The 19560-nt window shown below is 32.2% G+C and overlaps 1 protein-coding gene across 15 annotated transcripts in view; it reads left to right on the forward strand.

Moving 5' to 3' along the window:
• GCA (grancalcin) overlaps window positions 1–19560 on the forward strand; it is a 56634-nt gene that overhangs the window by 31690 nt on the left and 5384 nt on the right. For 7 of the 15 annotated variants that reach the window (XM_006712398.5, XM_006712400.5, XM_047443881.1 and 4 more), the window contains 5 exons: window positions 1886–1955; window positions 5986–6029; window positions 6306–6453; window positions 8592–8705; window positions 9042–9100. In XM_006712398.5, the coding sequence (XP_006712461.1) occupies window positions 1886–1955; window positions 5986–6029; window positions 6306–6453; window positions 8592–8705; window positions 9042–9100 (435 nt within the window). Of the gene's footprint in view, window positions 1–1885; window positions 1956–2959; window positions 3282–5985; window positions 6030–6305; window positions 6454–8591; window positions 8706–9041; window positions 9101–9764; window positions 12672–19560 lie in introns of those variants that run through there. The other 8 variants (NM_001330268.1, NM_001330266.1, NM_001330265.1 and 5 more) reach the window with 3 other exon arrangements.

Genomic DNA, 19560 nt, shown 5'->3' on the forward strand with positions numbered 1-19560 from the left:
AATAATATTTTCTCCTGTTTGCAGCTAAATGGTACCTTAACTGTTCTACTCATTATACCATTGCCATTTTAAAGGATTATACTGGGAATAAGTAGTATTATACTGAGAATAATTCTATTATCTCTGTTTGACTATATAATACATTCATCATATAAAATTACAACTTAAAGTATATGAACTGGACATATATTTGGAAACTCTTTTTGACTGCTGAACTATTTCAGCATTTTAATTGTCAGCAATAAATTCGCTATGTTTGAACTATTTGATACTTTCCTTAAATTTCCCAGTCTTGTGCTTTTGAATAAATAAACTCCATAAAGACAGGGTTCTGGTCATATTTTCCCTACTTGACAGGTAGATATTAGGAATATATAAACATTTGATAAATGTTTCGTATGGATGAATTAACTATCCCATTTTCAATTTTTAGTCTAAATATTTAGACTGTATTTTTTCATATATTGAGTTCTACCTAGCTTTGAGGGATCAGGTGCAACATCTGACTTAGGTATACTGCTCCTGGAACCCAACTACTGAACTTACATCTACAGCCATATCCTTTTTTGATGGGCCTCATAATTAATAATGCTCTATGAAAAACACCTGATTAAAGGTTTCTGCAGTGTTCTTATTTATAGGATGAAGTATTCTAAACAGTAAGGATTAAATCATCAATTAATTTGGGGAAATTCTGGTTTCTGTCTTCATACATACAGACACATGCATCACAGTAATACCAACAACTTTAACTTTTGTATGCACACTGCTTCTACTTTTCCACACAGCAACTGTGATGTGGGCATGACACAGCTACCTTTGTATTATAGATAAGTAAGTGGAGACTCAAATTGAGTAACTGAACAAATAGGACTTGAAGTTGGATATCATTTTAAAATCTTGCTGCCTAACGAAGGGCAATTGATTTTTGTTAATTCTCTACCTGATGCTCTTGTAATTTAATTAGGACATTCAGCTTTCTACCGCTAATGCTACCTAATTCAGTTAAGGGAAGAATGCTGCTTAGTATTTTGTAATTTCTATTAGAACAGCTGCAGTTTTGTAAGGGGTTCTTTTGCCAAAAATCCATTAGAATGTGAGTGTTAATAATATTTCTTAGAAGTAGTTTAGAAAAGTTTTTTGTTTTGTTGTTTCTTGGATCTCTTATGAAGAGTAGGTTTTAAATTTGCCTCCTTGATCCTTCATCATAGCTACATTTTGCATTTGTGCCAATGTTTGTGATGGTTCCAAAGGAATTACTTATTTTTGTCAAAAACAGGATGAGGTACTAAATCATAATGAGAATACTCAACCTATTTCATTTCCATTGTGATTTCTTGTTTGCATTTTAAAACTTTATTTTCTGTAGTAAGTTCAGGCAAGACTTGTTTGGGCAGTAATCAGAAGAATAGCAGCAAGATACAGGGGGACTCTAGAATTTTGCTAGGGGTAATGGTGGGGGAAAATATATTTTCCCCTTCCAGTTAAAGCTTCAGTATTATTTATAAATAATCTCCTCCCAAAACAGCATGAGTGGGGATGTTTTCGAGACTTTTCTGAACACATTTTAGGCATTTTTCTAACTGTTTAACTGTTTTTCTAACTGTTTAAAATAGAAGTACAATGACTCTTATGAGATTGTCTTGAACCATTATAGAACAGGGTAATTGTGCTATTCTTCAGAAGTGGAAGAAATTATTTCTGTGGTATGATATTTTGTAATATGCCTTTGTTGTCAGTAATTATCTCTAGAATTTTGTAGTTAATTATAGAGTAATGTTTCAAAGAATGCATATGTCTTGATTGGCCTAGAACAGTCAATTGACATTTTAATATGCTTTTATACAACTGCACATTAAATTAGGTCATAATTATTTTTAAACAGGATGGTGAAGTGGATGCTGAAGAACTTCAGAGATGTTTGACACAGTCTGGAATTAATGGAACTTACTCTCGTGAGATCTTTTTTCCCCTTTTGTTGAAATTATAATAGGAAGTTTATTTTCTTACTTTTTTTGTCCCTGTAATTAAAATGTTTAAAAAATTATCACAGTTATACATGCACATAGTTTAAGGAGTCAAATAACTGTAAAACTCGTTATGAAAATAACTGTTCATTGTGTATTCCTGTCTCCTTAACATTAACTGCTCATAGAGGACACTTCTTTTGACTTTTAAAAATCTGATTCTTTTGAAATTTGCTTCCAGATTTCAAGATAGAATATTTTTTTCACGATTGATTTTTGGATTTTATGATTATCTATTGATATCCTGCTATGAAAGATGAGGATTTCACTTTATTTTAACCTTAAACTCTCCCCTGTCTCTGCACTCCACAGAGGAACATTTCCCATCCTCCTGTCCTTCCAATGTAGTTATAATATATAGTAACTTTTGTTAGGTATGTTAGTCTTTACCTTATTTTTACTATCTGAATGCTGCTTATAGCTGTATCTTATGATAATGTATGATTACTTTTCCTTTTTATATAATGTTTTGCTTTTCTTGAAATCACTAGTTGTCAGGTATTATCCTAGAACTCTGGGATATGCAGTTTTTTATGTGTAGCTGTCATACTGGGATTCTTTCACCATCATTCTGAAGCTGGTTTCCCCGTTTCTCTTGAGTTAGATCTCCTTTTTACTCCATCTCTTGTTGTCCTCTTTTAAAAAATTCATTATCTTATTTTAGTGAAATGTATAGTTAAGCAGCTTCTTAATATAAAAAAAAAATACGGCCAGGCGCCGTGGCTCATGCCTGCAATCCCAGCACTTTGGGAGGCTGAGGTGGGCGAATCATGAGGTTAAGAGATCGAGAGCACCCTGGCCACCATGGTGAAACCCCGTCTCTACTAAAAATACAAAAATTAACTGGGCGTGGTGGCACGCACCTGTAGTCCCAGCTACTCGGGAGACTGAGGCAGGAGAATTACTTGAACCCAGGAGGCAGAGGTTCCAGTGAGCTGAGATTGGGCCACTGCACTCCAGCCTGGTGACAGAGTGAGACATCATCTCAAAAACAAACAAAAGAATATATGGGAGATAAATTTTTGAGAGCTTATGTATCTAAAAATGCTTTCATTCTACCTTCAGAATTGATTGGCCAGGTATAGAATTCTAGGTTACAAATGATTCTCAAGTAGAATTTTAAAGGTATTGCTCCATTGTTTCTAGCGTCCCTTGTTGCATTATCTTTCTCTTTCCTGCCTGGATGTGATGTGATTTGTTATTCCTCTCTGGAAACTTGTGAGATCTTTGTCTTTAGTATTCTGCGATTTGATGGTAAAGTACCTAGTTGTGTTGTGTGGGGAACTCAGATGGTATTCTCAGCCTGGAAACTCCTTTGCTTTAGATGTAGGACGTTTTCTTCAATGATATTTTCTGTTTCTTGGAATGCTTTTTGTTTTCACTGGGTTTTCTACTTTTATCATCTTTTTCCTCCTATCATTTTTTTTTGCTGAACTTTTTGGGAATTTTCCTCAACTTTATTTCCTAAACCTTCTATTGAGTCTTTCATTTCTGCTTTTCATTAATATCCAAGAGCTTCTGTTCTATTTTCATGAATGTGATATTGTCCCTTATCTCTCTGAGACTATTAATATATTTTTAAAGTTTTTTCTTCCTATATAACCTTTGTTTTTTCCAGATTGTTTTTTCTCCTCATTTTGCTTGTTTTGGTTGTCTTTCATGTTAGGTGCTTTTCTCAGTTATCTGATGATACTGCTTTGCTCTTATTTTAACTAAATTGCTGATTAGAAGCCCTGAGATCATGGTTAGGCATTGATTGTGGGCTTCACTGTATGGTGATTTGGCTGGGCAGTTTTGTCTTGGAACTCTGGGTGTCAGTATCTTTAGGGATTCCCTTTTGGACTGGGTTTTCAGTTGACCTTCTGCCTGGAAAGGAGAGGTGGACTCAGAAGGGTTCTCAAATCTTTTGTAAATTGTCCTTTAATTGCCTTGCTTTTAGAAGATAGCCCTGTCTCAGCTCTGGTATCTTACATTTCAGAGACTCCTCCAGAGAATAAAATTCCAGATTTCTGCTGGGTTGGAAGTAGGTGTAGCATCCATCCAACTGAACCGAGGCAGGGAGGGGATATGAGGCTTAGAATGCTCCTTAGGTAGACATTCAGCCAATTCTTCTGTTTTTATCTCCACTTTCACACCCACTTTCAGAAGTACTGCCAATTCTTTGGCATTTGGGGTCTTCTCCAAGGGTTGCTTCTCAGCTTTTCTCATTACAAGTTCAGGAATCCATTTTCTCAGATCTAGGTTGGTTAACTCACATCCATCAGCTCTTCAACTTGCAAAATTTTGTTACTTTGTTTCCTGTCTAATTCTCTTTTTCTCTAAAGTTTTATGCCTTAAATCAGTTTACTCTCCATTCTAATGGGCTATGGGGAGGAAGTGAAAAATCTGTCAACTTTCCTGAAAAGTCTGTCTCTCCACTCTTTGTCCTAAATATTTCTTCTTATACATACACATTCCTATTCTGAGATTGAAGATCTGCTCATTTGCTGATTCAGTTTTAGCGATCTATTATCATTAATTCGGATTCTCCCACTTTATGAATGTGTGCCAAGTTAATTGTAAAGCAAAATAGATATTATTTACTTGCCCAAAAGAGGAAATACCATTCCAGAAATTTCTCATGTAATCCCCTCACTCTGACAGTTGTATAGCCTTAGCTTTGTAAACGTGGGGAACTGCCTTTCTGGGTCCCAGTTTCTTCCTTTTTTACAATTGGAACTATTATACGTTTAGCATGTTTATGTGAAATCATGTAACACACGCCACCTTACTCATGCTAAGAACACATTGAGTATCTATTGAGTTGTCAATTTGAAAATACTACAACCAACAATTCTAACATTGATACTATATTAAACATTTAAAGAAAATCAGCAATTTTAACTCTTGGAATGTCTTATAATTTTTTCTTTAGTGGGTCTAAAATTTAGCTGAAATAATTTTCTGCTTTTATAAAATGTTAAGATGTTATGGATAAAATAATTTTGAAAATTTTCATTCATTCATATTAACAAGCTGCTATTAAGCACTTTGTAAATTTAAACTGTACTAACGTGATGTTTTCTTTATCAGGGCATGAAATTAGTCTTGAGATATGTCAGCATACAAATTGAATGTAATTGGATTAGAAAAATTAGAAAAGGATTAGAAAAATTGAATTTTATCAATAGGTCATCAGTTGTAGTTCTATAAATATGAAAGTGTTAATATTTCAAATCACCCCTGGTTTTAAGATAGCTTGTATTGATTTTTTCTTCCTTTTTTCTCCCCCCAACCCCCGAGAAAAACCAGTTGCTTCAATTCAGATGCTCATTTTTTCTTACTTGGTCTATTACAATAAATTACCAATGGACTTACCTATTTCCAATATCATCTCACTTTATATTTTATTCATTGTAAACTAAGTTTCTAAAATGGAAATTTTAGAATTTCCCTTCTGCTTCTGAAAACACTTCAGTGGCTTTTCATTGGCCCAAACTTTTTGGGGGTAGTATTCAAAAGTTTCATGATTTGGCCCTCATTTGCCTTTCTGATGTCATCATATGTCACTCTCTCCCATATACTTTAATGCAAGTTTTGTGATCTCTGAGTACATGTCAAACTTCTACTTTAACTCCACTTGTCATTTGTGTTATGAAGACTGGAAGCCTTCCTTTTCCCCAGGCTTGGGTGAAGCCAAGTGCTTTACATACCTGGAATGTCTTTGTCACAGTAATTTTCAGTTAGTTTGTAATTGCTCATTTAATTAACTTAGTCCCCTCACTAGATGTGAGTACTTTGAAGGCAGTAATTTTTTTTAAACAATGGGTGCTTAACATTCAATAATAGCTTGTTGATTGTGGTGATTTTATATATTTTGGCAGTTTTTTAATGTTTTATTTTGAAACTGGAGATTGTCATAATTTTACATAGATAAAGTTGGGCATACTCTAATTTAAATATTGAATATGTTTTACAGCCTTCAGTTTGGAAACCTGCAGAATTATGATTGCCATGTTGGATGTATCCTTGAATAGAAATAGAAAATACTAGAATAAAGAGTAATTGCTTTCTGACTATCAAGCCAGTGGTTAGATTTCAGTGCCTGTAGTAAACTAGTGAATTTAAAAATACTTTGTAAGATCCTGTTTAAATTCTAGGCTTTCTAGTTTTTATGCAGAAGTCTGTTCATATAATGAGTTTGGCTAAGTCTACAGAAGCATACTCATGTTTTAGTCAATGATTTAGAGTCAGATAAACTCAGGTATCAGAATTTATTTTTGTTAATAAAACTATCAGAGAGATCACACAGGAAAAATGGGATTTAATGCATTCAAAGAGCTATGGGCAGCTCTTAATGCCTGGAAGGAAAACTTCATGACTGTTGATCAAGATGGAAGTGGCACAGTAGAACATCATGAGTTGCGTCAAGCCATTGGTCTTATGGGTAAGAACATTAACATTCTTTAGAATCTATAAAGCTAATCTTTGTTCTTTGATTAGATGAACTTAATTGCTTCAATTTACTAACTAATAAAGGGATGTATTTTTTTGCCAGCAAGTTCCTTTGTTTGTTTTCAAGGTTGTAGGTAAATTCTGACCAAAGACCTCAACAAAACCATTTTAATTATGATTTTTTTCAAAAGATGATCTTCCATACATGCATACATTCTGAATTTCTTCTGTTGTGTTTAAATTTATTTCTTTGTTAGTACTTACCAGTTAGATTGTATTCTTTTATAACTTGGCAGGATATCTAATTGGGAGCCAAAGCTTGCCTCAGTCAGTCAAAAGTCTGTACAAAATAGGTTTTCAGTGGTAGAAACCATGTTTTTGTCTTTTTTTTCTTAGATAGTGCAGAACACATAGCAGGTGCCAAAATACATCAGGATGGAAAGGTTGCATTTTAGAGTAATTTAGAAGTATATAACTTTATTCTTATACCTCTGATAAGCTGATGTTCCTAGTGTACTTTTAAAATGGATAACATACAATGGTGTTTAATTTGCTTAAACTTAATGCAGTTTTAAGTAGCTTTATGAATTGTTCTTATGCTTGTGATTTACACTCTTCTAAACAAAATCTATTTGTATGAAAATTAATTTTTTGGAAGTTAAAATCTGAACCCAATGGAAGTGGGCTTATCTCAAATTGCAATTTAAATAAGTCAAATTAGTGATTTGTTTGGTTTTGTTTTATAAATAGACATTTTAATTTAGTAGTAGGGACAGTCCAGCCCATATAAACATATGTAGTTCAATTATAGATCCTTAATACCTAATGGATTAAACCTGGACCTTAATTCAGCCTAATGTTGGGAAATTAATGTAATCTTTGGCAGAAAAGAAAACCTCCAGAGTTCCCGTTAGGCAGTGGAATGTAAAAAGGGTATTCTGGATTATCCAAATTTAAGATCTTCATGTATATTTTAAAATATTCAAATTATTTTTCTGAGAATACTATGGGAAAATCTAGGAATTTTATCAGTACCACATTTAGCTCATAACTCTCTAATATGAAGTTCAAAATATATTTGCATATAATTACATTAGTTTGCATGTTTTACTGCTTCTTTCAATTTATACCTTTCCCACATTACATTCTATTATAGCTGCATGTATAATTTTCTCCTGTTACATTTATTTTGGTTGTTTTCACCTTTGAATTGATTAGTGTCATTTGTTCAAGTCTACAAATCCAGTAATGTATGGGCAATAATACTGGGCTACCATTCTTCTTAGTAAAATGTATACATCTCATTAAATGCATAGGACCATCTATAAGGGTACAGCAAGTAGAATATATTAATTTATGTTTTTATTCAGTTGTATTCGTTTTAAATTTTAGATTTTATGTATTTTTTAAAATAGGAGTAATCAAACAATAATACATGTATAGAATTTAAAATTAATTTAAACATACTGGGAGTGAATGATCAAAAACTTCTTTCTCATTGATATAAGTAAAAATCAAAGATTTTGGACATCACAGGACTACTGAACAAAGAACCAAGGAAATCAGTGAAATAGCGAGAAAGCTGTTATTATTATTACAGTGTATGAAGAAACACTAAGAATTCCAGGACAAAAAAGAATGTTTTTCTGTTTTTTTCCCCTGTAGAGTAATCATGTTGATCCTCAAATTTCTCTTAGTTATAAAAGATACTTGCAAGTAATATGTTCAGTGGGAAATATCATTTGAATAACAAAGATCATTAGTAATCTTTGCATTTATATTCTTTAAGAACTATACAAAGTTACATACTTGAAATATTGAAGCATTAAAACCCATGAAATTAGACATTATTTCAAAATAACAATATATGATAAATTCATAAGAAGAGAATTATTTTCTTTTCCTTAGCTTTGACTTTATTACAAAGTTAGAATTGTGATATTTATATACCGATTAACAGGATTAACAGTGAAGCCTTTGTCTGATGAATTTCAATATTCATGTGTTTTGTTTCTAATTATATTTTTGTGGAATGAATTTTGAAAGTTATTTTATGACTTAATGAGAAAGCAATCTTGCAGTGTTCTTATGTTATTTACATTTAGAAGTTTTAATTTATCTCTTTTTTAGGTTATAGGTTGAGTCCTCAAACATTAACTACTATTGTTAAACGTTATAGCAAGAATGGCAGAATTTTCTTTGATGATTATGTTGCTTGCTGTGTGAAGCTTCGAGCATTGACAGGTATTGACTATTTAAAACTAAGTGCACAGTGTTATGTAGCTATTTTTCTTGAATAATGTGTCTCATTTCCTCCAGCAAGTTTATAATAATATGTGTTTTCTCCCTTTATTCACTGTTAAATCTAATTAGTTTAAAGGCTTCAAATATTAAGGAATATAAATGATAAAAACGTTATGTTATTTTTGGAAGTTTTTCTCATATCTCTGTTGCCAGGGCTATTCAATCACTTAATATTTAATTGAATATGAAATTATTCTTTTTGTGTACCTGGGTGCACTAAATATTTGAAACTATGTATTTTAAATTACAATAAAAAAGTAATTTCTTTGTTTAAAGATTTCTTTAGGAAAAGAGACCACTTGCAACAAGGGTCTGCGAATTTCATATATGACGATGTGAGTATCCTGCTTTTGATATTTATACTGCATTCTAGATAGTTCTCAGTTAGTAAAAAAATTTAAGTGATCCCAAGTACCAGTACTGGAAATAATATATTTGGTATGCCACATACTTTTCCATATTTTTCAGTGTAACACAAATATAAGATTAATATTGGTATAGGTGCCAAACAATTTGACTTCATGTTAAATTGTAAATATGCTTTTCAATTTTTATGACAGGTTTTTTGAATTAAAAAAAAAATGATCTTTCAAATCACTTTTAAGGGCCAAAACCACCATTATTTTTAAAAAGGGTAGTTTACTGTAGTGATATTTTTTCTCAGGGAGGGAAAAATTTTAATCCGTGACGGATTATGAAGCTGTTCATTTCTCATTTCAAATGGTTACTATTAACCTGATATTCAGGGTTTTTTAAAATTCAAGGTATAAGACAGTTATATTTACCTGTGCTTTAATGTTTCAGGGTTTTTGTTTTGTTTTTCTTATATTTACTGATGGAAGTTATGGGGTCAACATTACTGATATTTATTGGCTTGAATTATAAGCCTTGGAAACAAACTTTTCTCTCTTAAGAAAATGCTCTTATGGAATATAATTAGTCAAAAATAATTAAAAACCATTTTATTCTTAATAGATAATAATTTCACTTATGTATTAGTTTTTGCAGGGCACTATGGCAATTTGAATGCTTAGAATTTTAAACCTGAAGAGACACTGTGAATTCTTTTGTTTGGAAGAAGTGAACTGGACTACTTTAAAACTTTTAAGGGTTTTCTATGTTCTTCCTACCTGTTAAACCTCTTCCCTTTCTGTGTGTTTTTATTTTAGCAGATAGTTCAAAGCAATAAAAGATTTCTTTTTTAATTTGAGGTATTACTGCTTTTGGAAAAGTTATTTTATAAATATGTGCATATTGTCATAAAATATTGTATGATTAATTGATTTAAATAATGCTTAGCCTTAATTTTAGATAATGTAAATTTAGAGGAATGTACTTTACAAGATAGATTGTATAAGAAGCCAAATAATGAAAGCCTAGAAAAAACTAATTTATACTTATCTGAAGGTTACAAATTAGACTTTTAAATTTTCTTTGTAGTTGGTGGTGTTTGAGGGTTGGCTAGAAATGAAAGCCTGGATTTTGTGCCATGTTTGTAATATAGTTTGTTCCTTGATCAAATAATCAGAGAAAAGAAACTTAAAGATCTTTGTCTGTGAAGAAGAAAATTATCTCCCTAGTTCAATCTGTAGTGAAATAAGACTACAGAAGGCATTGTTTTTTCCTTTTTTATTTTTTGTATTATATATTTTTCTTAAATATGTTTTATTGTCTTCTCTAAGCAAAAAGTTCTTAATAAACATAGTATTTCTCTCTGCGTCCTATTTCATTAGTGAAGACATAGTTCACCTAAAATGGCATCCTGCTCTGAATCTAGACTTTTTAGAAATGGCATATGTTTTTGATGATATGTCAACATTCAAAATTGTCCTAATTAAATTGTTGTTTAAATGTAATGTCAACTCTTTATAAACTTAAAAATAAACAAGTAATTAACCACTCTAATTGTTCAGAAATTTTACATTTGACTTATTTGACAACATTAACATTAGTGGTGGCTTTGCCATTAAAAACCCAGTAAGTATTTTGAGTGCATCTATGTGATGTGGTGTTTTGAGCATAGTAGGCACCACAGCAACTTTTCTGCGTGGTACTAAAACTGCCGAAAATGCGACGTAGAATCACCAGATCTTTAGTGTTTAATATCCCTGGTATAAGATGTTATAATTAATGTAATTTCTTTCTTGGCAAACACCTCATGTCTGTCTTAGTGAAGATTTAATAAACCACTTATTTTTCTTATGCTTTAAATGTGTATTTTCTAACCTAACAGTGAGTGACATAATTTTATGACTGCTGACCAAATTAATTTATAGATTTTATAAAATCCCATGTTTCTTAATGGATGGAGGATAGATGGCAATATCTTGAACAAAATCTTTTATAAACTTACAGAATTTTAAATCAGCCTTCACTTAAAAAAATCCTGGAAAGGAAGTAACGCATAGTCACTTGACACTGATAATTTTATATAATTTGCTGTCAAATTCACTTGGTCAGTTTTATAAAAATGTGTGAATAGGTAATACACATAATTTTGTTCTCTGGCTTTTTTATGAACATATATTTGATAATGTGAGAGGACATTAACTGAGCTGGGAAATTAAAGAAACAGAATTCTAATTAGAAGTGTTGTAGGAAAAAGCAAATGTGAAAACACTAAGTGTCGTTCACATCGAATGGTGATAATGTCGCTCAGCAACCTGTAATCTTAACATCCAGGTTATACAGATGGTCGTTACTGAACTATTCTGCGGTCGATTATGATTATCTCTCTTACTTGGAGGCTCACAGTTGAGGTAAAACTTTTAAAATGACAAATGGTATTATTCATGTAAGCTTCTGCCAGGTGACACTCTATATTAGAACTCTTTAACACAATTTTCATTTAAAAATGTTCTTATGACTTTTGGTCATAGAAGGTCTATGAAGGAGCTTCCATGGCCAAACATATTTAGAAACTCTCACTTTCTAAAGCTTGACAAGGTATATTAGCATCTGAAACCCCAAGGTTAATAAAATCAGTCATGTTTAATTTTATTTGACCCAGTTTTTTCCAAACTTTTTGACCACAGAACCCCTTTCTCTAGCAAAACCTAACATTCTATGCCGATCCAACTTAATTGCCAGGCAACTCTTCTGCACTTTACATTAAACAGACAAACTTATGTTAACAAAAACATTAGGCCTAGAGAATATTTTACCAGAATTTTTATACTGAAATACAGTTCACTTTTTCGATGCTTTAAAAATAACTGATATTTTTATGATGAACATGACTGTAATATGAATATAGTATAGTAGTTTGCACTGGTTAACTTACACCCCAGTTCTTTTACGATGATGTAAATTATTGAATAATGTACACTCTTAATGTATAAGTGCTTTTATTTATACAGTAAACATGTTTCCATGTCATTTTGAGAATTTTTTTAATAAACATTCAAATAGCTTGCTGTAAAGTTTTGTATCATACAAAATCTGTTACATATATATATATTATGAGATGCTTCAGTTCAAATAACAGTGCAGTAATTCACCTATATCTAAAAGACTGCCAAATTATTAAATGTCAGGTATTGCACTTCTATTCTGAGTGGCAGTTTACACATTTTAAATTACATCAAGGGTAAATCAATAGTATGGAAATCTTAATTTGGTCCACTTTAAATGTAATTTCAAGGATTTCTCATTTGACCTATTTACACATGCATCCAGAAAAAAGTAACAAAAAATGTAGTCAAGTTATGTTTATTTCCAAAAAAGGCATTTACCCTAGAAGAAAGTAGAATCTGTTAATACAGTTTAAAGTCTGTGGAGTTAAAAAAAATAACAAAAAATCAATTTGTGATTATTTCTTTAAGTAAAATATAAGACATTAAGTTTGCCTGTAATCTTATGGCATTACTAAACTGGACAAACAAAATAAATACTCTTTGTCGGAAATGTGCTCTTTGTCTTTTTACGTTTGACAAACTCTTAAATGATATGTTTTCTTCTGCTTTTCTAGTTTTCTGGGTAATTAATAGAAATAAATTTGTTAATATCTGGTGAATTAAATCTGATGAGTAAATTCCAAGATTTCTTTCAGGCAGGCATATTCTGTCCCATAAGCTTTAAAATGCAACCATGGGTGTTTTATTACTTTGAAACTTGTGTTAGAAGATCCCAATTTTTGGGTTGCAATTCAATCATTTACATAGTGAATTAAGCACATCTGAATAAATACATAATGCTAAAATATCATCCAAGAATATGTCTAGAGTTTATACATAATACTAGATGATACAAATTAAAATATTTAGAACTGGTAAATATTTAGAAGTTATGAGTGCAGACAGGATTTTAAATGAATATTGCTCAGGTAATTTGAAGTCTAGAATGAGGTCATCATATAGTACATATATTAAACTTTTCCTGTAATTTAGAATTCTGAGCAGAAAACTACTTTCCAGCAAAACACTGGGAAACTTAGGAAAAATATTTCTGACTCACTATCAGCTCATTATTTGAATGCTGGGAAATCTGTGCTTTTAATCATTTCCTGCCATATCTCTTTCTACTTGTTTTTAAAAATATGTTTTTCTGGCATATAAAGAAAGAGTCTTATATACTTAGCATTCCTTTTTTCCAAGTAGGTTGGTAATATGCAGCTTTGTGTATTATTTTGCGAGTATTCAGGACTCAGGTGTGCTTCTGTGTATCTGAATAGTGAGTAGACATTGGCAACACTTCTACATCACTATGATGTGCCATACAGTAAGAAAATGAGGAAGCTGTTTCCCTATGTGCTAATTATGTTTTCAGATGTGCCCCTTCTGTAACATCAGAGATGGTGGCAATTTGCAAAGCTTACCGGGAGTGAGAATTGGCCTAGATCATCATTTAATAGCAATATTTGGGAACACTTAGGAGTGATTAGGTCCTAATTCTGACATATTGTGAGAGGTACCCCAATGTTTTCCCTTAACCATAAAAATGTAAGTATGTACAGATACGTACATACAGATATTTGCATTCTAGTTGACTGTATTATTGAATCAAATTTCATTTTGTTGTAATTATTGAATTTTCAAAGGATAACCTGAAGAGTGCTAGTATGAATATCCCAGAAACATACTTATTAAATATTCATTTTTTTGAAAATAATAAGCCATTTTCAAATGATTATAAGATTTTTCTGAACTTTTGGATGCATATTTAATTTCCCATAGCTATCTATTTGTGGTACCCTCAGATTTATATTATGGCAAGAGATAATTTACGGTAAGTTCTAAAATATGTAGTTTCTTCATATTTAGATTCTCATTTTCTGATCAGCCTTGGTTGTAGATACCAATACAATTTTTTCTGCTATTTGTGTTTGGTTTTTCTTTTGTCAAAGGGAAATGTTCTCTTGGTGTTCTAAACCCTTAAGATGAAGGTTGGGAAATCTAAGCCACTAAACAGACTCAATAGTCCTTAGCTTACATGCCACATTATGGCCAACACATTTTATTTACAAGTTTTCTTGAAGGTAGTTTGATATTTTTCCCCTTAAATAATAGAGAAGCAACAGGGGGAGGAATTAAGAAAGTATGAAACTCGGGCAAAAGAAAATATCTGGATATTTTCATTCTTGCTTAAAAAAATGAAGCAAACGTATGTTATAAAAAGTTATTTGCACATGAGTTAAAGCCTGTTTATCCACCAGAAATTTTAAGTAAACAATAAATGTTTTAGTCAATCACTGTTGTGGTCTTAACAGGCAATAATAGGTGAAATATTATGCTTCTTTAATTTTAGATTTAATGCTTTTTGCCACTCAGTCTATCTTACTAGTGTCCTGATGGAACTCAGTAAAACTGTAGCACTGTTACATGTGATTTCATGAAATAACATCAGCACCACCATGCCTATATCTAGTACTGTTCCTAGTAAAATGTTGGAAAAAGTTGGCTTCTCTAGTAAAAGTATCCTACTTAGCTAATGAGATTTACTTTCTTTTTCCCCAAAATAATTTCTTTTACAAATTCTTGAATTTTTCATGTATAAATAGATCAGAAATTATATGCTTCATTCTTAAATTATGTATATATACTATATTTTCAATACAACTTGTACATTTCTCTTAGCTACCAAAAATTTGCAACCATTTTTTACATGAAATGTACATTTTTCTTATTTACAGTTATCTGTAGAAGCTTATTGCAAAACTAGTTGTGCAAGTAGATTACACTGTCAATACCACATACCAATCTTTGAAGAAAATATTTACTAAAAAATAAATATTTCTGCACAGAATATTTCAAAAGCGTTATGATTTCATGCTACATTATGTGCATAAAAACTAGGAAATAGTATGTGTTTTGGTAGATTGTTTCATTTTGTTTAAAGCATTCCAAGGTACTTACTACTTAGCCAGATGTAAGTGAGCTGCTTTGTATCAGATGACTGACATTTTCAAGTGACTACACACATTCTTTTTTGAAATGTATTATTATTTAACTGGTAAACATTCTGGTGTAATACATTTTCCCATCAAAATTATAAAATGCAAATTTCAGCTAAAAAGCGTTAATGTGCCTTTAATTGAAATCACTAGGTGGCTAGGAGATAAAAACTAGAGATTCCTCAATATTTCTAATCTTATACAACATTTGGAAGAAAGATGCCATATCATTTCAGTGCTATTATAAATAAAGGGGCATTTGAGGAGACTACGTGAGGGAGTTAATTATAAGATTACTGATCCTTTAATTTTACCCCTAAATAAGAATGATGAAAATGTGGAATTTCTTATATATCCAAACAATATATGTCAGTATAAATAATACAGTTTAAATGCTAACAGTTGTGATTACTTTCAATATAAAAACATTAAAATACACAAGAGGAAATACAAAGGATAGAGGTTAAACATAGTGCTTTAAAACCACAGGTATACCAAATTATTTTACATCTTTCAAAACATAAATTAATGGAAGTCACAGATGTAGTGACTATCATTCAGGGGATTCATCTAATTTTTGACATTAGCTTTTCAAGAATAACTATGTTAATATTGCCACTTCTCATAATAAGTACTATTTTACTGGCAGTATTTCTTTAATCTTGCTATTCTCATTTAAAAGTTTGATCATGAATGGTACAGCAATGAAATTTGTCAATTGATATGGTTCCGTGTTCTTAACATTGCATTTCTATAGATGTTTTGATGTATTCGTAGTAATAACATGTTTTAAATAACTTGTTAGTCATCTCTCAATCTCCACTTAATAGTTTATATACATAAGCCTCACGGTAATTTCCTTTCATGCTTTTGCTTATTAATAATTCATGTCTTTCTGTTAATTTTCTGTATTTGACATTTAACCGAAGTGTGTTTGTACCACAAATGCATGTGAGGAATTATTCTACTGTTGGGCACTGATCAATCACAACACCTAATACTTTACATTTGAAACATGATCCTTTTAGTTTGTAAAGTGGTTTAACATCACATCGTAAGTAGAACCACAAGAAAAAACTTTGGGAACATTTGAGGCATGAGGGAGAGAGGGATGAGCTATTGCAAAGCTAGAAAACAATTGCAATGCAAATGTATAAGTTTATGAATGGTGGACAAAAGCAATATTTAACAAATATAAGGATGCTATCTATACTGGCTTTCGCCTGCTCTGAGCAACTAGATCTTTGGGAGGCATGTGAAAATGACTTCATAAGTTTTTGTTATACAGTATGAATGTGCATGTTGGGTAAAGGAAAGAGCAACAGAAAGTGTTTTAGAAGACCTTAAGTAGTGCTACTGCACTACCCCATATTCCACTATCTTTATGATGATGCACAAATCACACACAGATTTACTGTAAGAAATAACGTCCTTTATGGTTTACAAAGCATTTCTACTTATATTTTCAGAGGATCCTCAACACACCCCTTCAAGATATGTTAGATGCTAACACCATTTTTTATCATTTTGGATACTGGGGCTTACTCTGGGTTTGTCCCAAGAATAAATGGAGAAGGTAGAATTTGAATTCAGGTTTACCACATTGAGTCCCCTGCCATTTCCACCGTTCCGCACAAGAGCTTAGCCAGTTTAAGACTGTGTAACATATCTGTGCAATGAGAGAGTGGCCTAGGGGTCTGAAAACCATTGCAACTGTAAAATTATATTTTCTGTAAAAATGGAAAATTATATACTTTCAAAATTGTATTTTGTAAATGTATTTTCAGATATCCATCTAAGGACTATATCATAGATCTAAAGAAGGACTTCCACAGTGAGCCAGCCTTTATAGAATACATTCTAGTAGTACTGATCGACAGATTACTTTACATACTTGGCATGTATAACATCGATTCAGAGTAGATATGTTTATAACAAGGAGATTGACACTCTCACTATTATTGTAAATAGTATTACTTTAAAGCTATAAACCTAATAGTGCAAAATACAATTAAGAGAGATAAAACAATAGTTACATGTAGGTTTTTCTGAATCAAAAACTTTCATCTTGGCAACAGCTATGTTGTTGGAGACGTTGCACATTGTGCAAAATCTAAATCTTGGGAAATTGTTCTCCTGATTGTTTTAATGCCATGTTTCTGGACGAGAAACAAGGAACTCAGCATTTTTTGAGCACCTAGTATATGCCAGGCACTTTACTATATTTTATCTCATTTCTTTCTCAAGCTTCTGTGAGACAGATACCATTGCCTTATTTTTAGAGATTCAAGAAAAAGACTGGGGGAGGTTAACTTGCTCAAGGTCACACAGCTATTGATGAAAAAACTGGTATTGGAACCCAAGTTGGTCTGATGCAGAATCTATGCTTGCTCTTCTACATTAGTAATTCTCAAATTTTTAGTGTGTGTAAGGATCACGTGAGGGAGGGCTTGTTAAAAGATGATTGCTGGGTCCCACCCCTAAATTTTCTGATTTACTAGATCTGGGGTGAGGCCAAGAATATGCATTTCTGCCAAGTCTCCAGGTGATGCTAGTAGTGTTGGTTGGAGGACCACTCTTTGAGGACCACTGTCCTGTATCATCCTGTCTTCAAGTGCCTCTTCAAACTCACATGATAGAAACATATTTGTTTTACTGTAAAAATATAACTTGATTTTTTGATAACATAAAAATTTTGATTTTCATAGATAAGTAATTTACATATATTTATCTATTTTTGGTTTTAGCCATAGATAAGCAATTTAGACACTCTGTTATGCAATTCATTTCTAATAACATCTACAGAATATTTTTTTAAATCATGAAAGTCATTTAGAGGAATGATACTGTTGTTAAATAACAGTATCTAAAATAATATCTAAAATAATAATAATTTTAGATATGCCAATAAGGTGATACATTTTATCCTTAGACAATATATGATGGGGTTTTAAAATGACATTTCGATAAGAACTTTACTTTTCTGGTCATTTTGGAACCATTTCTAAAGTTCACCCTCCAAAAGGACCTTGTAAGCAATTCTTACACAAACATATTAAACCTGACCTCAAATGCCCTGACCTACTTCCCATACTTCCTGACTAGAAGAGTAGGATAGTTGTGCTCTGATGACCAATACATTATAATGGACTTAAGAAACTATTCTGTCCCAAATCTGCCCCCTGCCTTCCTATGTTTGTTGACTGAGTGATTATTAATTTAAAAACCCCATGAGAATTGTGCTTCATCATTTCTTATTCCTGGTTTTCTCAACTGATTAAATAATGTGACTCCCCTATGGAGGAGAATGATAAGTCTGTTTCAGCTCTTTGCCCAGCAATTAATAACAGCAGGAGATCATTGGATTCAAATAAACTTTAGATTTTAAATGACATTTTATTTAGGCCAGGGGACCAGGTAACATTATTTTTAGGAGGAGAGCAAAAGGTGTTATATTACTGCTTCTAATTACCTAGAAGGAAAGCATTTGCTACACTGCCATTATGATTGGCTGCAGCAGTTCAACCTGGCTCTCGGCATGATCCCTGGATGGAGAGGTCAGACTGTTTTTGCAATAGCCAACAGGGGGGATGATGGTACATTTAGGCATTAGATCTTTGGCTGGGGAAAGGGATGAATTTTGTACATCAAGATAATTGCTTTGGTCATCTGTAAGTCACTTTAGCCATTGAGTCTTCTGACATTTATGCCCAACTAATCACGTCTTTATATTGCTCAGTCTCTTTTTAAGCTAATATCCTGTAGGAAGGGACGTTCCTAATCCTGTCCAACTCTCTGAGGGTTAAGATTTTAATATAAGCAATGATGTCAAGGAATTAAGAAAAAGGTTTGTGTTGTGCTAGAATTTAAATAAACTGGATGCTTGCACACCATTCCCCATCTTCCTATTTCTTCATGCTCAGGTTTCACAAAGAAATATAAACAAGTTTTATGTGGGAGGCTGGATTTTATGCATGTCATACCAAATGTTGCAGCTGAGGCATTCACTAATCAATCAGATCTCCATTCCTCACCTGCCAAATCCTCTCTCCCTACAAATGAACATTCTCTGGTGAATTCATTCTGAATGTTCCTGAACTTAGGCCGGCAATCCTTATGAAATTTGTTGCAGCTGCAAAAATGTGTCCCAATATGGAAATAAAATCCCAAAATAGTCCTCTGAATCAGAGTTGGCCATTTATAGGACTTTCTCTTCCCTGCTAGGCACCATGGAATGTTGAGTGAGGAAGTGAAAGCATCAGTTAGCCCCTAAGTTTGTATCTGCATAACACCAAATAGTTTGGGAAGCTGGTTATAATTATTGCACTTTTGTATAATAGTATATGTTGGAATTGACTGGTCATTTTGAATAATGCACTTGAACATTTGTGTTTTGGTTTTTCA

Source organism: Homo sapiens, chromosome 2, assembly GCF_000001405.40.
Source record: "Homo sapiens chromosome 2, GRCh38.p14 Primary Assembly".
In the NCBI taxonomy this organism is placed as follows: Eukaryota; Metazoa; Chordata; class Mammalia; order Primates; family Hominidae; genus Homo; species Homo sapiens.